Source organism: Homo sapiens, chromosome 3, assembly GCF_000001405.40.
Source record: "Homo sapiens chromosome 3, GRCh38.p14 Primary Assembly".
NCBI classification, from domain to species: Eukaryota; Metazoa; Chordata; class Mammalia; order Primates; family Hominidae; genus Homo; species Homo sapiens.
The window spans coordinates 136,532,894-136,550,392 of NC_000003.12; the positions used below are offsets into that span (position 1 = coordinate 136,532,894).

General features: G+C 36.2%; 1 protein-coding gene across 6 annotated transcripts in view, besides 1 other annotated feature; it reads right to left on the bottom strand.

The window, feature by feature from the left end:
- STAG1 (STAG1 cohesin complex component) overlaps positions 1-17,499 on the bottom strand; it is a 416,143-nt gene that overhangs the window by 196,658 nt on the left and 201,986 nt on the right. For all 6 annotated transcript variants that reach the window (XR_001739978.2, NM_005862.3, XM_047447229.1 and 3 more), the window contains one exon: positions 9,226-9,302. Coding sequence is in view for 5 of the 6 variants with exons in the window: in NM_005862.3 (NP_005853.2) it covers positions 9,226-9,302 (77 nt within the window). In the remaining variant the exon portion in view is untranslated. The remainder of the gene's footprint in view (positions 1-9,225; positions 9,303-17,499) is intronic.
- Positions 14,661-14,710: an enhancer, noted in NCBI's record as "active region_20586". NCBI's record gives its function as "activates an Ori minimal core promoter by ATAC-STARR-seq in GM12878 lymphoblastoid cells {active_cell/tissue: GM12878}" and the evidence as "EXISTENCE:reporter gene assay evidence [ECO:0000049][PMID:35858748]".

The following is a 17,499-nucleotide window of genomic DNA, read 5'->3' on the forward strand; positions in this document are numbered from 1 at the left end:
CATGGTACTGGAAGTCCTAGACAGACCAATCAGGTAAGAGAAAAAACAAAATACATCCAAATTGGAAAAGAGGAAGTCAAACTGTCCCTCTCAGCAGATGACATGATCTTTTATTTAGAAGAACCCAAAGCCTCTACCAAAAAATTCTTAGAGCTGATAGCAAATTCAGTAAAGCGCTTTACATTTTTTCAACATATAAAAATTGGTTTCTATATACCATTAATAAAACAGCTGTAAAAAAATCAAGATGGCAATCCCATTTACAACAGCTAGAAAAAATAAAAGATCTAGAAATAAAGCTAACTAAAGTGAAGGATCTCTATAAGGAAAACTACAAAAGACTGATGAAAGAAACTGAAGAGGACACAAACGAATGGAAAGACAACTCATGCTCATGAATCCCAAGAATATTGGTAAAATGTTGGTAACCACTGAATTTTTTCTTTAAAAAAAGGTTGGTAAAATGACTGTGTCGCCTTTTTTTTATTTTTATTTTTTGCATTACTATAAAGAAATACCCAAGACTGGGTAATTTATAAAGAAAAGAGGTTTACTGGCTCAGGTTCTGGAAGCTGTATATGAAGCATAGTACTGGAGTCTGCTCGTCTTATGGTGAGGTCCTCAAGGATGCTTATAATCACAGCAGAACGTGAAGGTGAGCCAGTGAATCACATGGTGAGAGAAGGAGCAAGGGGGCAGGGATGCCATACTTTAAAAAATAACCAGATATCTTGTGAATTCAAAGTGAGAATTCACTTGTTACTGCAAGGAGGATACCAAGCCACTCACGAGGTATCTGTCCCCATGACCCAAACACTTCCCACCAGGCCCCACTTCCGACACTGGGGATTACATTTCAACATGAGATTTAAAGGGGACAAACATCCAAACCATATCAATGACCATACTGTCAAAAGCAATATACAAATTCAATGTAATCCCTATCAAAATATCAATGTCAGTTCTCACAGCAACAGAAAAAACAATCCTAAAGTGTGCATGGAACCAAAAGAGAACTGGAATAGCCAAAGCAAAGTTAAGCAAAACAAACAAACAAATGAACGAAACAAAACAAAAACAAAGCTGAAGGCATTACAGCCTGACTTCAAATTATATTACAAGGCTATATTCGCCAACAGAACAAAGTATTGGTATAAAAATAACCACACATACCAATTGAACAGAATAGATAACCCAGAAATAAATCCACATATTTACAGCCAACTGATGTTTGACAAAGGTGTCAAGAATATACACTGCGGGATGGACACCTCCCTTCACTAAATGATACTGGAAAAACTGGATATCCATATGCAGAAGAATGAATCTGAACCCCTATCTCTCACGTTATATAAAAATCAACTCAAGATAAAGACTTAACTGTAAGACCTGAACCTATAAAACTAGTAGAAGAAAACACAGGAAAAACAATTCAGGACACTGGTCTAGGCAAATAATTTATAGCCAAGACATCAAAAGCACAGACAACAAAAACAAACAAATAAAAAAGGCAAACAAGATACATTAAACTAAAAATAAAAAAGCACAGCAAGCAAAGAAAACAACAGAGTGAAGAGACAACCTCTTGAATGAGAGAAAATATTTGCAAACTATTCATCCAACAGAAGACTAATACTGAAAATAAACAACTCAACAATGAAAAAAAAACATAATCGCATTAAAAAGTGAGCAAAGCACATGAATAGTCAATTCTCAAAAGAAAACTTAAATGGCCAACAGGTATATGAAAAAGTGCTCAACATCCATAATCATCCAGAAAATACAAATTAAATGGGCAATGAGATATCATTCACCCCAGTTGGAATGGCTATTATTAAAGAGAAGAAAAACAACAGATACTGGTGAGGATCTGGAGAAAAGAGAACTTCTATACACTGTTGGTGGGAATGTAAATTAGTACAACCACCATGGAAAACAGTGTGGAGATTTTTCAAAAAACTAAAAATAGAACTACCATATGATCCAGCAATCCCACTACTACGTATTTATCCAAAGGAAAAGAAATCAGTATATCAAAGGGATACCCACACTTGCATGTTTATCACAGCACTATTCACAATTGCAAAGATATGGAATCAATCTAAGTGTCCATCAATAGATGAATGGATAAAGAAAATGCAGCATATACATATAACAGGATACTATTTGGTTATAAAAAATTAAAGTCATTTGCAACAGCATGAATAGAACTGGACATCCTTATATTAAGTGTAATAACTCAGGAACAGAAAAACAAATACATTTTCTCACTCTTATCTGTGAGCTAAAAAACCTGATCTCATGGTGATAGGGAATAGAATGATAGATGCCAGAGGGAGAAAAGCGTGTGAGGAGGAAACAGAGAGGTTGGGTAAATAGTTATAAACTTACAGTTAGATAGAAGAAATAAGTTCTAATGTTCGATAGCAGGCTTGGGTGACTACAGTTAACATCAATATATTATATATTTCAAAATAGCTAGGAGAGAGCTGGGTGCGGTGGCTCATGCCTGTGATCCCAGCACACAGGAAGGCCAAGGCAGGTGGATCACTTGAGGACAGGAGTTCAAGACCAGCCTGGCCAACATGGCGAAACTTTGTCTCTACTAAAAATACAAAAATTAGCTAGGCACAGTGGCACAAGCCTGTAATCCCAGCTACTTGGGTGGCTGAAGCAAGAGAATCACTTGAACTTGGGAGGTGGAGGTTGCAGTGAGCTGAGATCGTGCCACTGCACTCCAGCCTAGGCAACAAAGTGAGACTCTGTCTCAAAACAAACAAACAAGTAAACAAACAAAACAAAAGCTAGGAGAGGACTTGAAATGGTACCAACACACAGAAATGATAAATACTCAAGGTAAGAGATACCCCAAATACCCTGACTTGATCATTACACATTCTATGCATGTAAAAATATTCACATGTACCCCATAAAAATGTGAACTACTATGTATCCATAAAAGCAAAAAGTGATACCTCTAATAAATAAAAAACCGAATTCCTACTATCTGGCTTTAGCTGAAAAATCTAATACATCTTAATAATAATTAACAAATATAAATGTGATTTATGTGAATCACTGTAAAATCCAATTTTGTACGAGTTTTAAAACGGAAAGATAAAAATTTTCAAATTACCAGCATGTAAGTATATCCTCAATAAATACTTTATCATGACTAATCCAGATAGTATTTCATCTAGTAACCACTGACATAAATGTTATTGTTGGAATATACTTTGGCTTCATGAGTATCTCATTTAAGCATCTCTCATAATGAGTGATGTCTCAGATAATGTAATGGAGAGGTCTGACTCAATCTAAAAAGATTATCCCAGATTAAGAGAATATAACAGGCCCATTAAAAAACTACTAGTACAATTCTATAACTTACTGGATCAGCAGTAAGAAATCGATAATAAAAATAGCCAGAAACAAATTATATGACCAGGGTTGTCCAAACTGAAAAAGTGTAACTGTTACTGAGTAATCTTTTCCCAGACATTTCAGTATCATAAACTTCTGACTATATAAAACACAGAATAGGACAGTAGTTAAGACTATGGACTTAGGGCCAGGCACAGTGGCTCACCTGAGACCAGGAGTTCGAGACCAGCCTGTCCAATATGGTGAAACCTTGTCTCTACTAAAAATACAAAAATAAGCCAGGCGTGGTGGTGTGCGCCTGTAGTCCCAGCTACTCAGGAGGCTAAGGCACGAGAATCGCTTCAACTCGGGAGGCAGAAGTTGCCGTGAGCCAAGATCACACCACTGCACTCCAGCCTGGGGGTGACAGAGCAAGACTCAGTCTCCAAAAAAAAAAAAAAAAAAAAAAACTACGGCTGTAGGAGCTAGATTGTTTGGGTTCAACTCCTGGCTTGCCATTTACCAGTTGTGTGACCTCAGGCAAGTTTCTTAACCCTTTTGTGCCCCAATTTTCTCATCTGTCATATAGGGATAACAATATTATAAACTACCTACCTCACAAAAATATTGTGAGAATTAAGTATATGTAAAGCACTTAACAGTGCTTGCATCCATTAAGCATAATTATTAGCTATTATTATTACTATTCAACATTTGCTCTTGTCCCCAATAGATCGAACTGCAGGGTTCAGTCATTGTATATTTTCTTTGTTACATTTTTGCATATTACAAATTCATTACAATTTCTGGAGTCATCCCAATTTTTTAATTATTCATTTGTCTTTTGGCACTTGTCATTTCTAATTCTATTTTCTTTAACATTTTCTGTTTACCTTTCTCATCTTGGAGCAGTTTCCACAGTGATGTATGCAACACAAATGGAGTGGTGTATTGTAAGAAAATATTAGAACTTCTATTTCTATTTATTTTTATCTACAAAAAGAAAGAAATTAATTGCTGCTAATATTTAATATACAGAATAAGCCTGGTATGCCCTCACTTGGTCCATATTTCAGACTGCTTTGTGTCACAAAACAAATTTAACAGAGTAGCAAAGAGTTCAATACTCAAAGGAGCTGACAGTAGAAATGGCATTCCTCACTGGTTTCTTAGGTTATTTTAAGTTACATATGACCACTTCAATGACTTTAAGCCTAATAGTGTCTTTTTTTTGTTTATTTTTTTTTTGTTTTTTTTTTTTTGAGGTGAAGTCTCACTCCATTGCCCAGGCTGGAGTGTGGTGGCGTGATCTCGGTTCACTGCAACCTCTGCCTCCTGGGTTCAAGTGATTCTCCTGCCTCAGCCTCCCCATTAGCTGGGATTACAGGCATGTACCACCACGCTAATTTTTTTATTTTTAGTAGAGATGGGGTTTCACCATGTTGGCCAGGCTGGTCTCAAACTCCTGACCTCAAATGATCCACCCACTTCAGACTCTCAAAGTGCTGGGATTATAGGTACGAGTCACTGCGCCTGGCCAATAGTATCTATTTTTAACTCCTGGCAAAATGGAAAGGCACCAAGCACAGATTTTTCAAGAAAACTGAAACAACAAAAACCTGAGCATGTGATCATAAGGAAATAAGAAATGTGGTGGCACTGTCACTCCTTGCACGCATTCATCTTAGTCCACTATAAAAGTAAAGCCATGAAAATCTAATGATACAAGAAAATGACCCTGAAAACTTTAAATTATTATTAAGACTATTAAAAATAAAGATATACACCCATTACCAACATTAGAACCATGTCTAAATAAATACTGAGTCTTGAGTTATTAGCCTGTGATATTTGAAAACCACTGTGTGATCACAGTATTTTGATCAGAATAGTATGAAATATTGTCTTATCTGTCCATTAAAATTACTTTTACACAAATAATGATAGCGCAATACTATATACATTTAATTCTATTAATAAATATGCATATGCTGCAAAGTATACTTTAATACAATAAACAAACAAGGGTATACACTCAGTCTTGATTACCAAGGGTGGAAGGAAGAAATCTTTTCATGTATTTACTATTTATAAGACATTTAGAAAATAGATGTAGTTCAGAACTAAGAAGGTCTCAAATAATCACCATATAGTTACTTTTTTTTTTTTTTCTTTTTTGAGAGAGAGCATCTCACTCTGTTGCCCAGGCTGGAATGCAGTGGTGGGATCTCAGCTTACTGCAACCTCCACCTCCCAGATTCAAGCGATTCTCCTGCGTCAGCCACTCCAGTAATTGAAATTACAGGCATGTGCCACCACTCCTGGCAAATTTTTGTATTTTTAGTAGAGACAGGGTTTCAGCATATTGGCCTGGCTGTTCTGTGAACTTCTGACCTCGGGTGACCCACCCACCTTGGTCTCCCAAAGTGCTGGGATTACAGGCGTAAGCCACCATGCCTGACCACCACATAGTTACTTCTTAAGCACTCCTCTCGTACGTTAAAAACTATGGCCCTCTGAAAAGGAGCATGGTGAAGAGAGAGGAGGCTTATCACAGGTTTTCACTATTAGGATTATAGTTTAAAAAATGTTTTAGTGGCTGGGAGCGGTGCTCACGCCTGTAATCCCAGCACTTTGGGAGGCCGAGGCAGGTGGATCACGAGGTCAGGAGATCAAGATCATCCTGGCTGACACGGTGAAACCCCGTCTCTACTAAAAATACAAAAAATTAGCCCAGCGTAGCGGCAGGCGCCTGTAGTCCCAGCTACTCAGGAGGCTGAGGCAGGAGAATGGCGTGAACCCAGGAGGCCGAGCTTGCAGTGAGCCGAGATTGCATCATTGCACTCTAGCCTGGGCGACAGAGCCAGACTCCGTCTCAAAAAAAAAAAAAAATGTTTTAGTGATGGGATATACAATTGAAACAATTTAGAGACTTTAACTTGGGACTGGAGATAATTTGAGCTTTCCCCTATCATATCCGTAATATTTCCTTTTCTCAGTTTGTATACTATTTAACCATTTTTATACTTATTAATGATGTTAATCCTTTGATTAAATAAATGCTGAAATGGATAAATTTAGAGAAGTACATACGATTAGACAGGAAAAGAGAAAAAATCTGCAAGGTTAAGTTATCACGGGAGAAGAGCACAATACACAAAAATCACGCAATTTATCAATGTAATGCAAAAGAACAAGCAAGAATTAAAGGCACTAAATGAATATATTAAATGTGTTTTGTTATAAAAATTTCCCTACATAAAAGTCATACTTAAAACATATGAAAACTATGCAATCTGACCTTGGAAACATAACAAAGACTTTACATATGAAGGTGCAATTCCAAAAATGTGGGGAAGAAATATCAATTTGCTTTAGCTTTCTACAGCTAGCTCTATCAAGAGCGAAGTGTATGTATTGACTGAACAGCCCATAGATTGCTCTGGGAAATAATTTATTTTTAAATTAGGTTGACATTACAATCACAAAGCACTGCTATGTGCAGGTTTATAGGTATTTTAAAAAGATTATTAACCAACATTGTAATAATCTGTTTGTAACAAAGAATAGGAACCAAAGTGTACTTCTCAGGCAACAACTTACTTTTAGATCACTTTACTGAAAATCTTAACAGCTTCAAACTAACTCATCTCACCTTTACCTTACTTTGCTGTAATACAATATATTAATTTTAATAAAATTTAAATGATTATTCCTTGAGAATTAGACATTGTTCTAGATTCTTGGGACCCAATGGTTCTTGTCATCAGATCTTTTAGAATATTATAAAATACAATTTAATAAAGCTAACCTCCTCAACTCCCACAAAACCAAATGACATATATAGTCTTTTGAAGAAAAAAATGTAATAAACTTCTTAAAATAAGTTATATTTCACAATATACATGCATTTAAACCAAGTTTCTCGGGTATATACACAGTAACAAAAGGAATAATATCTTCCTCAAGTGACAGAAGATAAAATGGATAGCCTCAAATATCTAGTAAGTATTTTCACTTTAAATACCTTCATATCATAATCAAACTGTGTTACTTTACTATCAAACAAAAAAAAAAAACTAGAATGGTGATTTTAAAAAAGTCTTCTTTGATGAAGCTGATCATCTCAAATATTGCGAGAAAATATATTTAGGTATATGAAATGCCTTTTCAGTAATTTCACTTGCAACGTAACTCATTCTTACTTTTCTTAATAGTTTACTATTCCTTCAACATACCATAATAGTTAACAATATTTACAGGAGTATTTTAAGTATATATTTGGCCAGGCATGGTGGCTCATGTCTGTAATTCGAGCACTTTGGGAGGCTGAGGTGGTTGGATCACCTGAGGTCAGGAGTTCCAGATCAGCCTGGACAACATGGAGAAATCCTGTCTCTACTAGTAATACAAAAATTAGCTGGGCGTGGTGGCACACCCCTGTAATCCCAGCTACTTGGGAGGCTGAGGCATGAGAACTGCTTGAACCGGGGAGGTAGAGGTTAAAGTAAGCTGAGACAATGCCACTGCGCTCCAGTCTGGGCGACAGAGTGAAACTGTGTCTCCAAAAAAAAAAAAAAAAAAAAAAAAAAAAAACCTATATATTTATTTTCCTGAATTTCTCAACTTCTAGTTATTTAATAATCCTAAAACAAAAGTAATGCTTTCTTGTTATATGTGCATTTTCACAGTGTCTTTATTTCTGTTTTTATCTCATTCCATTTTCATACGTGAAGAGTTTTACTAAGTTAATTCTTGGCTTTCTGTTAATTTTCTTTAAACTAGTAGTTCCCAAGCTTTGGTATACATTAGAATCACCTGATGAACTTTCAAAAATCCCAATACCCGGGTCACACACTGTTTGTCTTAACATATGTGTTTGTATGACGTTTTCCAAGTTAAAATTAATAATAATAAAACCCCGTGCCCACTCCCTGTCAAAGAGCAGACCTAGAAAACAACCAATATTTTAGTGCTGAAAGTCAAGAAAAAGAAACACATACCAAAAATAGAAATGTTATTTAAATCAAAAGGCAGATTGTTAAAACTGGAATTAATGGTAGCCTAATACATAATATAAATTCATTTCACCATAAATACAATACAGAAATAAAACTGTGGAAATGTTTCTGCATTTACAATCACTGTAAAACTGCTCAAGAGAATATTTCTGTGAAAATGAGAAAGGTGATTAATTTGTGAAGCCAAGCAAAGAAAACATGTATTCTAAATGAAAATAAGAATACTTTCAAGTAGAGTATCCCAAATAGAAGCTTAACATTCACACACACACACACACACACACACACACACACACACACACACACACCAGGGGTTTGGGAGAATTTCCACGTAAAATAATTTTGGGAAATTCTGGGTTAAATGAAGGTAAGCAGGGCTTTTCTTAATTAGGATGTCTTGGAATCTTAAATAACATAATGTGATTTTATAATCTCTGAGACAGGTATAATATGTGGTCCTGCTTAGAATTCACTGACCTCCAAACTGTTTTCCCCTTAAAGCATTTAATGCAACTAGCATTCCACAAACAGAAAACTGTTGGAGATGCATTTATAAATTTGGGAATTTGAGATGGTCTTCAAAATAAATATCAAGAATCTACTTTTACCTCATATCACTAATTTTCTTAGCCTGCCAGTAATTATTCAATACTCCACACAACATAATCAAATCTCCAAAGATCATTAATTTTGGAATTAGTACCACAGATTATCATATATAATTAAAAAATAGATTTTCAGTTACACTAAACATCAAATCAAAACAAAACCTGAGATAATCAACATATTCATCATGTGAAAGTATAAGTAAGCAATTTGTATGAATATTGGAATGCTATACCTCATCAAATTCTTCAGTCATTTTTCTGATGATTTCTGCATTCTGCATATTTCGAAACATCTCTATTCTCACAGTACCTGTGGAACAACAGATTTTACATTAATCTTTCAATTAATCTTTCAGATCAATTTCCACTCTCTCAAGCATTAACAAGTTATCTGTGAGAATCCCAAAAGAATAACCTTCCAACATATATTTTATATTAAAACATAAAATGTTGTTTGATCAGGCCCTTCTGACAGGACAGTACTCCTAAGAAGGAAAAGGAAGAATTTTGAAATTGCCGTTTTTAACTATAAATAATTCCATAATTAGACATAACATCAGAAATCTACCATAAAGTTCTAGATAGTTTAAATTACGTTAAATTGCTGATAAAAGTATATAATTTGGTACAATCTCTATGGTATGCAGTTTGGTAAATGTCTGCCAAAACTACAAATTTACATACTCTTTGATCCACAGATTGTACCTGTAGCAAAACATCCACTGACTAACACATGTGCAAAGTAATGAATGTAAAAGGTTATCCCTGAAGCACTGTTTGTAATAAAAAAAAAAAAAAAAGGAAAGAAAGCCTATATGCTCATAAAGATCAGATGAAATAAATAAAAAGGTGATATTAATGACGATGGTGGTGGCAGCTAACATTTGGGTGCTTACTATCTCCCAGGCACTTGATGCTTATACATTTAATCTTTACAACAGCCTTATGAAGAATGTACTATTATTTCTGAGACAAGAGGCATCTAGAGGTTTAGCAACTTGCAAAAAAAGTTTCCCGGTATCAGACCCATGGTTTACATGCAGGCAGACTGGCTACTATGATTAACCACTACTCTTTATTGACTCTCAAAGTCAATGGAATCTATCAAAACTATAGATGGAGCTATCAAAAAATAAGCTATCTATGGAAAGATCTATAGGATATATTCAAACACAAAAAAGAATGGATACTGAAATATATTTGATTGAACATACATTAAAATATTTCTAGAAAGATACTCTAGTAAAACTGGTTGCCTCCAAGAAAGAGAAATGGGCAGTTGAGGTTTAGAAAAATAAGGGAGGCTATATTCATACTTTTTGCACTTTAAAAATTTGAACTACATGAATATATTACCCAAACAAAATTATGAATAAATACATTTCAAATAAAAAATAAAATGTAAAAAACTAAACTGAAAGACACTGCTCTTAAACACTATCAGGCATTTGTATAGTCCTTATCAATATGCACTCAGTAGAAGGCAAGAATAAGAATCCTTAACACAAGTTTGCCAGAAATACTGTGTTTTTGTTATCTGCTATCACAGGGCACAAAAGACGGAATATAAGGCTGGAAAACACGCTCTTGTATAAATATCTATATAGACAACAATAAAAACAGACTGTAATTGTAGTTGCAGTGATTACAACATACGTTAGAAGCCTCAGGAAATAAGTCATCCTAGAGTGGCTCAATGTCTTTAGAGTAAGACATAGTAGGGTTTCTCAGCTCCATCAGTTACCGGATATGGGACACTAGAAAAGTCACTTAGTCTCTATGAAACTAGGATTTCTAATCTTTTAAGTGGTGATAATATCACTGCAGAGCAGAGAGCCTTTCTTCAATGTTCTAACTGCTACTGCCTGGAACATTACTTAGCACATGGGAAACATTCAAACAAATAAGGATGATAAGAGAATTAAATGAGATAACAAATGTAAAGTATTTGGCATTGCACCTGTAACATAAAAGATACTCAGTATTAGACTCTCCTACTTTGGGCATTCATTTTTTTTTCTGATACATTATCGTGCCCATTTTGGAAGCAAGCTAAAAGCTCCAGTTCCTAAGTTGAGTTCTACAGGAAGTCAGATTCCTACGTATGCACAGATTCAAATACTGTTTCAAGAGACGAGCTACCTCTTTTATCCCAAAACCAGGGAAAGTAATTCCAGAGGTTTTCCCATCACCTAGACCTATAGCATCCACCTCCAGAGTAGACATATCAGGTCCAACAGCACTAAACACCCTGTTCAAAATGCCTAGTACCTATCATAGGGGTAAGTTAAGACAATGATGAGGTAAATTGTCAGAAAAGTCAAGAAGGACCCAGCAAACTTTCTTATCCTCATATATATGAACCACACAGTTTAGAGAAATGTCTCAACCCTGTCCCTCCTCAGTCATTTTCAATTCTCCTCCTCTATTCTATGATGTCAGCCAGGGCATAAACTCCAAGCCTTCTATACATCCCTCCAACTAGGTACACAAGTACACAGAAGACTGAAAGTAGACAGAACTTTACTCAGCAGCAAAACAATTTATCCAAATATAACACAAGGCTCTTTTAAGTTTATATTAATAATAGCTTTTGGCCATGTGTGGTGGCTTACACCTATAATACCAGCACTTTGGGAGGTTGAGGTGGGCAGACTGCTTAAGATCAAGAGTTTGAGACCAGCCTGGGCAACACGGCGAGACATCATCTCTACTAAAAATACAAAAAAACAGCCGGGTGTGGGTGGCACATGCCTGTAATCTCAGCTACTCAGGAGGCTGAGGCACAAGAATCTCTGGAACCTGGGAGACTGAGGTTGCAGTAAGTTGAGATTGCACCACTGTACTCCAGCCTGGATGACAGAGCAAGACTCAAAAAAAAAAAAAGTTTATAGCTTTTATGACACACCATTCTTGCTTACCTCAAATTACTGAAGTCTAAGTGTGATTGAAATACACTAACATTGTCTAACACACTTAGCAAAAGATCCTTCCAAATAGCAGATGCTTTCTAAGTAATTGCTCCATGTATAAATCATTTTAAAGCTCTTCTTTTACAGAGTGGATTATAGCGCCTTAATAAATAAAATGTAATCTAGTTATGTACTAGAGATAATCCAAGCATATGACAGGATCATTTTTATTGTCATCTAACTTTTTATTTTTTTATTTCTTTTTTTTTGAGATTGTGTCTTGCTCTGTTGTCCAAGATGGAGTGCAATGGCGCGATCTCAGCTCACTGCAACCTCCGCCTCCCGGGTTCAAGTGATTCTCCTGCCTCAGTCTCCTGAGTAGCTGGGATTACAGGCACACGTCACCACGTGTAATTATTCTCTACTAAAAACACAATAAGTTTTGTATTTTTAGTAGAGACAGGGTTTCATCATGTTGGCCAGGCTGGTCTCGAACTCCTGACCTCATGATCCACCCACCTCGGCCTCCCAAACTGCTGGGATTACAGGCGTGAGCCACCGTGCCTGGCCATTTTTAGTTTCATTTTTATATAACCTAGCCTGATAAACAGCAAACTGTAAATCAAGACTAGACATAAATATGGATGGATTGGTAGAAAAAATCTGAGTCAGGATAGGAGAAGAAATGTTGAGTCTACTAAAACTGAGAAGGATTCACTAAACAAATATCAGTATACCAGAAATGTAGAACTTAACAGTTACCTAGTAATGCAGTGACTACATTTAAGAGTCTTTTTCAAGATTTGAGGAGGGGGTCTGGGGAAGAGGTAAAGAAAGAGACACTTTGATACCTTTCAAGCTTAATCGTAAATATCTTGGGATGCATGGGATCTGTCTAAACAGTATGTGCAAAAAGGAAAAAAAAAACCCTCACAAATTATGAATAAAGATACATTTTTGATACTTATAAATTTTTTAGAATGCCTTGAAAACAGAAATTGCTGTGATTACATCTCCAATGATGAGTCTGTCTCTAGATGGCAGCCTTCACTTTATAACAGTCCTTGTGGGGGAGGAAAAAAAACTAATGTATTTTTTCCTTTCTAAATACAAAAGATAAGTAAAACATTAAAGTAAATGTTTTTAAAAATCACGTATTGGCACATAACATGTGAGTACCGGTTAACTAATCTTTCAAGACTGCACAGGATGCAGTCCATCTACACCAAGAACAGAAACTTTACCAAATACTAGAATATCAAATTGTAGAGCTTGTTTGAGCCATGCTAGTATAGCCCAGGGCCAAAAGCAAGCACTATCCTAGCTAGAGCTATAGAACTGTTCAAAGATGTCCAAAGTATTTTCACCATATCTTCAAGAACTATTAAAATAAGTTCATATCAGTGCTAATGTTGTTCACGTAAGACTTAGAAGAAATGACTGTAAGAAAAATAATGTCTGTCTGCCACCTCAGTTCTATTACGACTATTAATAGGATTCAAGATAGGCAGGGTTTCTTGACCTGTGGCACATGGACTCCAAAGTACCTATGAACCATTTTAAAACATACGAAAATTCATGTCTATGTATTTTTGTAGAGAAAGTCCCAAAATTTTCAGGATATTATTAAAGAAAATCGAGAACTCAGGCAAAAATTACACATTAGAGACAAAATGTCAACCAAAAAATTTTAGTCATAGGGAACTAAAGGGAGAAATAAAATGATAACAATAAAAAGTAATTCTAGAGAAGATTGTTACCTTTCATCGCATGGTATGGAAAAGCAAGGAGTAGAAAACAGAGAGTAGAAAAGGCTGAACTCTTCTCCTTTCTAATTAATGAGGCCATGAGTGAAATAATCTGATATAGGGAGAGCCAGGTTTCATTTCTAAATTCAGGGTGAAAAAGCAAAGAGAAGCTGCCCACATTGTATACAAATCCATAAATTATAGAGCAAAAAGTTTTAGCAAGTACCTTGTTTATAGATGACATTGTATAATTGGCTCCAGTTACATAATTTAAGATTTAAATATTTGAGACTACTTAAGATTCTTTAGCAGTTTCTTATCAGACTGCATAAATGATCAAGTCCTGTTTCTTCAACCTGTGCTTCAAAGCTATGTCACTAGGGGTCCCAGATAATCTCAAGTATACTTTGAAGTCTCTCACAACTTTTGTCTGGTGCCACTAAGATTTTCTCAACTCATCTTTTGCCTAGAATACCTATTTTTCATTTTACAAAACTTTTATGTATGTGAGGAAAAGAACTGGTTGGGTTTAGTATTTCAGTCTCAAGGAATTTTTCTTAACTGAATTCCTATAGCATTTTTAAAAAATATGCTTTCTATTTTAGAATAGTTTTAGACTAACAGAAAAGTTACAAAGATAGTATAGAGATCCCATACACATCAGATTCAGTATCCCTTATTGTTAACACCTAACATTAGTATAGTACAACTGTCACAACTAATGAGCCAATACTGATAACATTAATAACTAAAGCCCATACTTTATGCAGACTTCCTTAGTTTTTACCTAGTATCATTTTTGTTCCAGAATACCACCAAAGGTGGTAGCTGTCATGTCTTCTTAGACTCCTCTACACTGTGACACTTTCTCAGACTGTTTATCTCTAGAATGAATTCATTTTGCATTACTGAAACTTGATACACATTATTAGCAATTTCCCACTTCCTGCTTCCCCCTCCCCCTGGCAATCACCCTTCTGCTCTCTCCTTCCATGAGTTAACATACCTCATGTAAGTGTAATCAAGCAGTTATTTGATTGATTTCTGTGTCTTTCTGTGGCTGGCTTATTTCATTTAGCATAATGCCCTCCAGATTCATCCATGGTTGTCACATATTGCAGAATTTTCTTCCTTTTTAAAGCTCAATAATATTCTATTGTATGTATATACTGCATTTTATTTATCCATTCATCCATCCATCCACAGACACTTTTTGGTGTTATTCCCATGAATTCATTGCCAAGACCAATGTCATGAAGCTCTTTTCTCCCTATGTTTTCTTCTAAGAGTCGGTAAGTTTCAGGTCTTACGTTTAATTGTTTAATCCATTTTGAGTTGATTTTTGAGTTAAAGTGTAAGGTAAGGGTCCAAACCAATTTCATTCTTTTGCATGTAGATATCCAGTTTTCCCAAACACCATTTGTTGAAAAGACTATCCTTTCCCTACTGTATATTCTTGACACCCTTGTCAAAGGTAAGTTGTCCATACATACGTGAATTACTTCTGGGCTCTCTATTCTGTTACATTAGTTGCTATGCCTATCTTCATACTAGTGCCAAACTGTTTTGTTTTGTTTTTTTTTTTTGAGACAGGGTCTCACTCTGTCATCCAGGCTGGAGTGCAGTGGTATGATCATGGCTCACTGCAGCCTTGACCTCCCCAGCTCAGGTGGTCCTCCCACCTCACCTCCCAAGTAGCTGGGACTACAAGCAAGCACCACCATGCCCGGGCTAATTTTTGTATTTTTAGTAGAGATAGGGTTTTGCCATGTTGCCCAGGCTGGTCTCAAACTCATGGGCTCAAGTGATTTGCCTGCCTCAGCCTCCCCAAGTGCTGGCATTACGGGTGTGAGCCACTGAACCCAGCTGATGTTTTAACTACTGTACTTTTGTATCGTATTTTGAAGTTTGGAAGTGTGGTGCTTCCAGCTTTGTTCTTCCTTCCTCAGACTGTTTTGGGTATTAAGGGTTCTCTGTGATTCCATATGAAGTTCAGAATTTTTCTATTTCTGCAAAAAATCCCATTGGAATTTTGATAGAAATTTCACTGAATCGGTAAGACCACTTTAGGCAGTATGGACATTTTAACAATATTAAGTCTTCCAATTCATGGATGTCTTTCCATTTGTTTGTGTCTCCTTTAATTTCTTTCATCAATGTTTTGTTGTTTTCAGTGAGTCTTTTACCTCCTAATATGGTTTGGGTCTGTGTCCCCACTCAAATCTCATGTCAAATTGTAATCCCCAATGTTGGAGGTGGGGCCTGGTAGGAGGTGGTTGGATCATGGGGATGGATTTCCCTTTTGGTGTTGTTTTCATGATAGTAGGTGAATTATCATAAGATCTGGTTGTTTCAAAGTGTATAGTACCTCTCCTCCCTCTCTTCCTCCTGCTCTGGCCATGTGAAGATGTGCCTGCTTTCCCTTCTAATTCTGCCATGATTGTACGTTTCCTGAGGCCTTCCTAGCCACGCTTCCTCTACAGCCTGCAAAATCGTAAACATTAAACCTCTTTACTTTATAAATTACTCGGTCTCAGATATTTCTTTACAGCAGTGGAAACGGACTAATAACACCTCTTAAGTTTATTCCCAAGTATTTTATTCTTTCTTATGCTATTGCAAATTGGAATGTTTTCCTAATTTTCTTTCAGAAAGTTCACTTTTAATGTATAGAAATACAACTAAATTTATATGTTGATGTTGCATCCTGTTACTTTGCCGAATTGATTGATGAATTGTAACATTTTTGTGGAATAATCAGTTTTCCTTTTTTTTTTCCCTTGAGACAGAGTTTCACACTTGTCACCCAAGCTGGAGTGCAATGGTATGATCTCGGCTCACTGCAACCTCCGTCTCCCAGGTTCAAGCAATTCTCCTGCCTCAGCCTCCTGAGTAGCTGGGATTACAGGCACCTGCACCATCCTGGCTGATTTTTTGTAGAGACAGGGTTTCACCATGTTGGCCAGGCTGGTCTTGAACTCCTGACCTCAGGTGATCTGCCTGCCTCAGCCTCCCAAAGTGCTGAGATTACAGGCATGAGCCACCATGCCCAGCCTGGTTTTCTATATATAAGATTATGTCATCTGTTAACAGAAACAATTTCACTTCTTCCGTTTTTTTTTTTTTGCTTGCCTAATAGCTCTGGGCAGAACTTCTGGTAATACACAGAATAGAAGTGGTGAGAGTGGGCATCCTCACCTTGTTCCTGATCTTACAGAAAAAGCTTTTAGATTTTCACCATAGAATATGTTAGCAATAAGCTTTGTATATATGGCCATTATTGTGTTCTATTTTCCTCTATTCCTAGTTTGCTGAGTTTTTTCTTTTAACATGAAAAGGGTGCTGGATTTTATAAAACTCTTTGTCTGGTATCTACTGAGATGACCAAGTGATTTTTATCCTTCATTCTGTTAATGTGGCATACCATATTAATTGACTTTCATTTGGTGAATAATATGCTGTTAAATTTGGTTGCTAGTCTTTTGTTTAGGACTTTTTGCATATATACTCATCAGGGATCTATACTGGCCTTTTTCTTTTCGTGGTATCTTTTTTTTGTGATGTCTTTTCTTGGCTTTGGTATAAGAGTAATGCTGCCCACATAAAATGGGTTTACAAGTGTTCCATCCTCATCGATTATTTGGAAAAGACTGAGAACTGGCATTAATTCTTTAAATGTTTGGCGAAAGTCACCAGTGAAGCCAAATGATACTGGGACTTTTCTTTGTTCTCCTAATCCGCCCACTGGTTACAGGTCTGTTCAGCCTTTTTTTTTTTTTTGAGACAGAGTCTCACTCTGTCGCCCAGGCTGGAGTACAGTGGCGCGATCTTGGCTCACCGCAAGCTC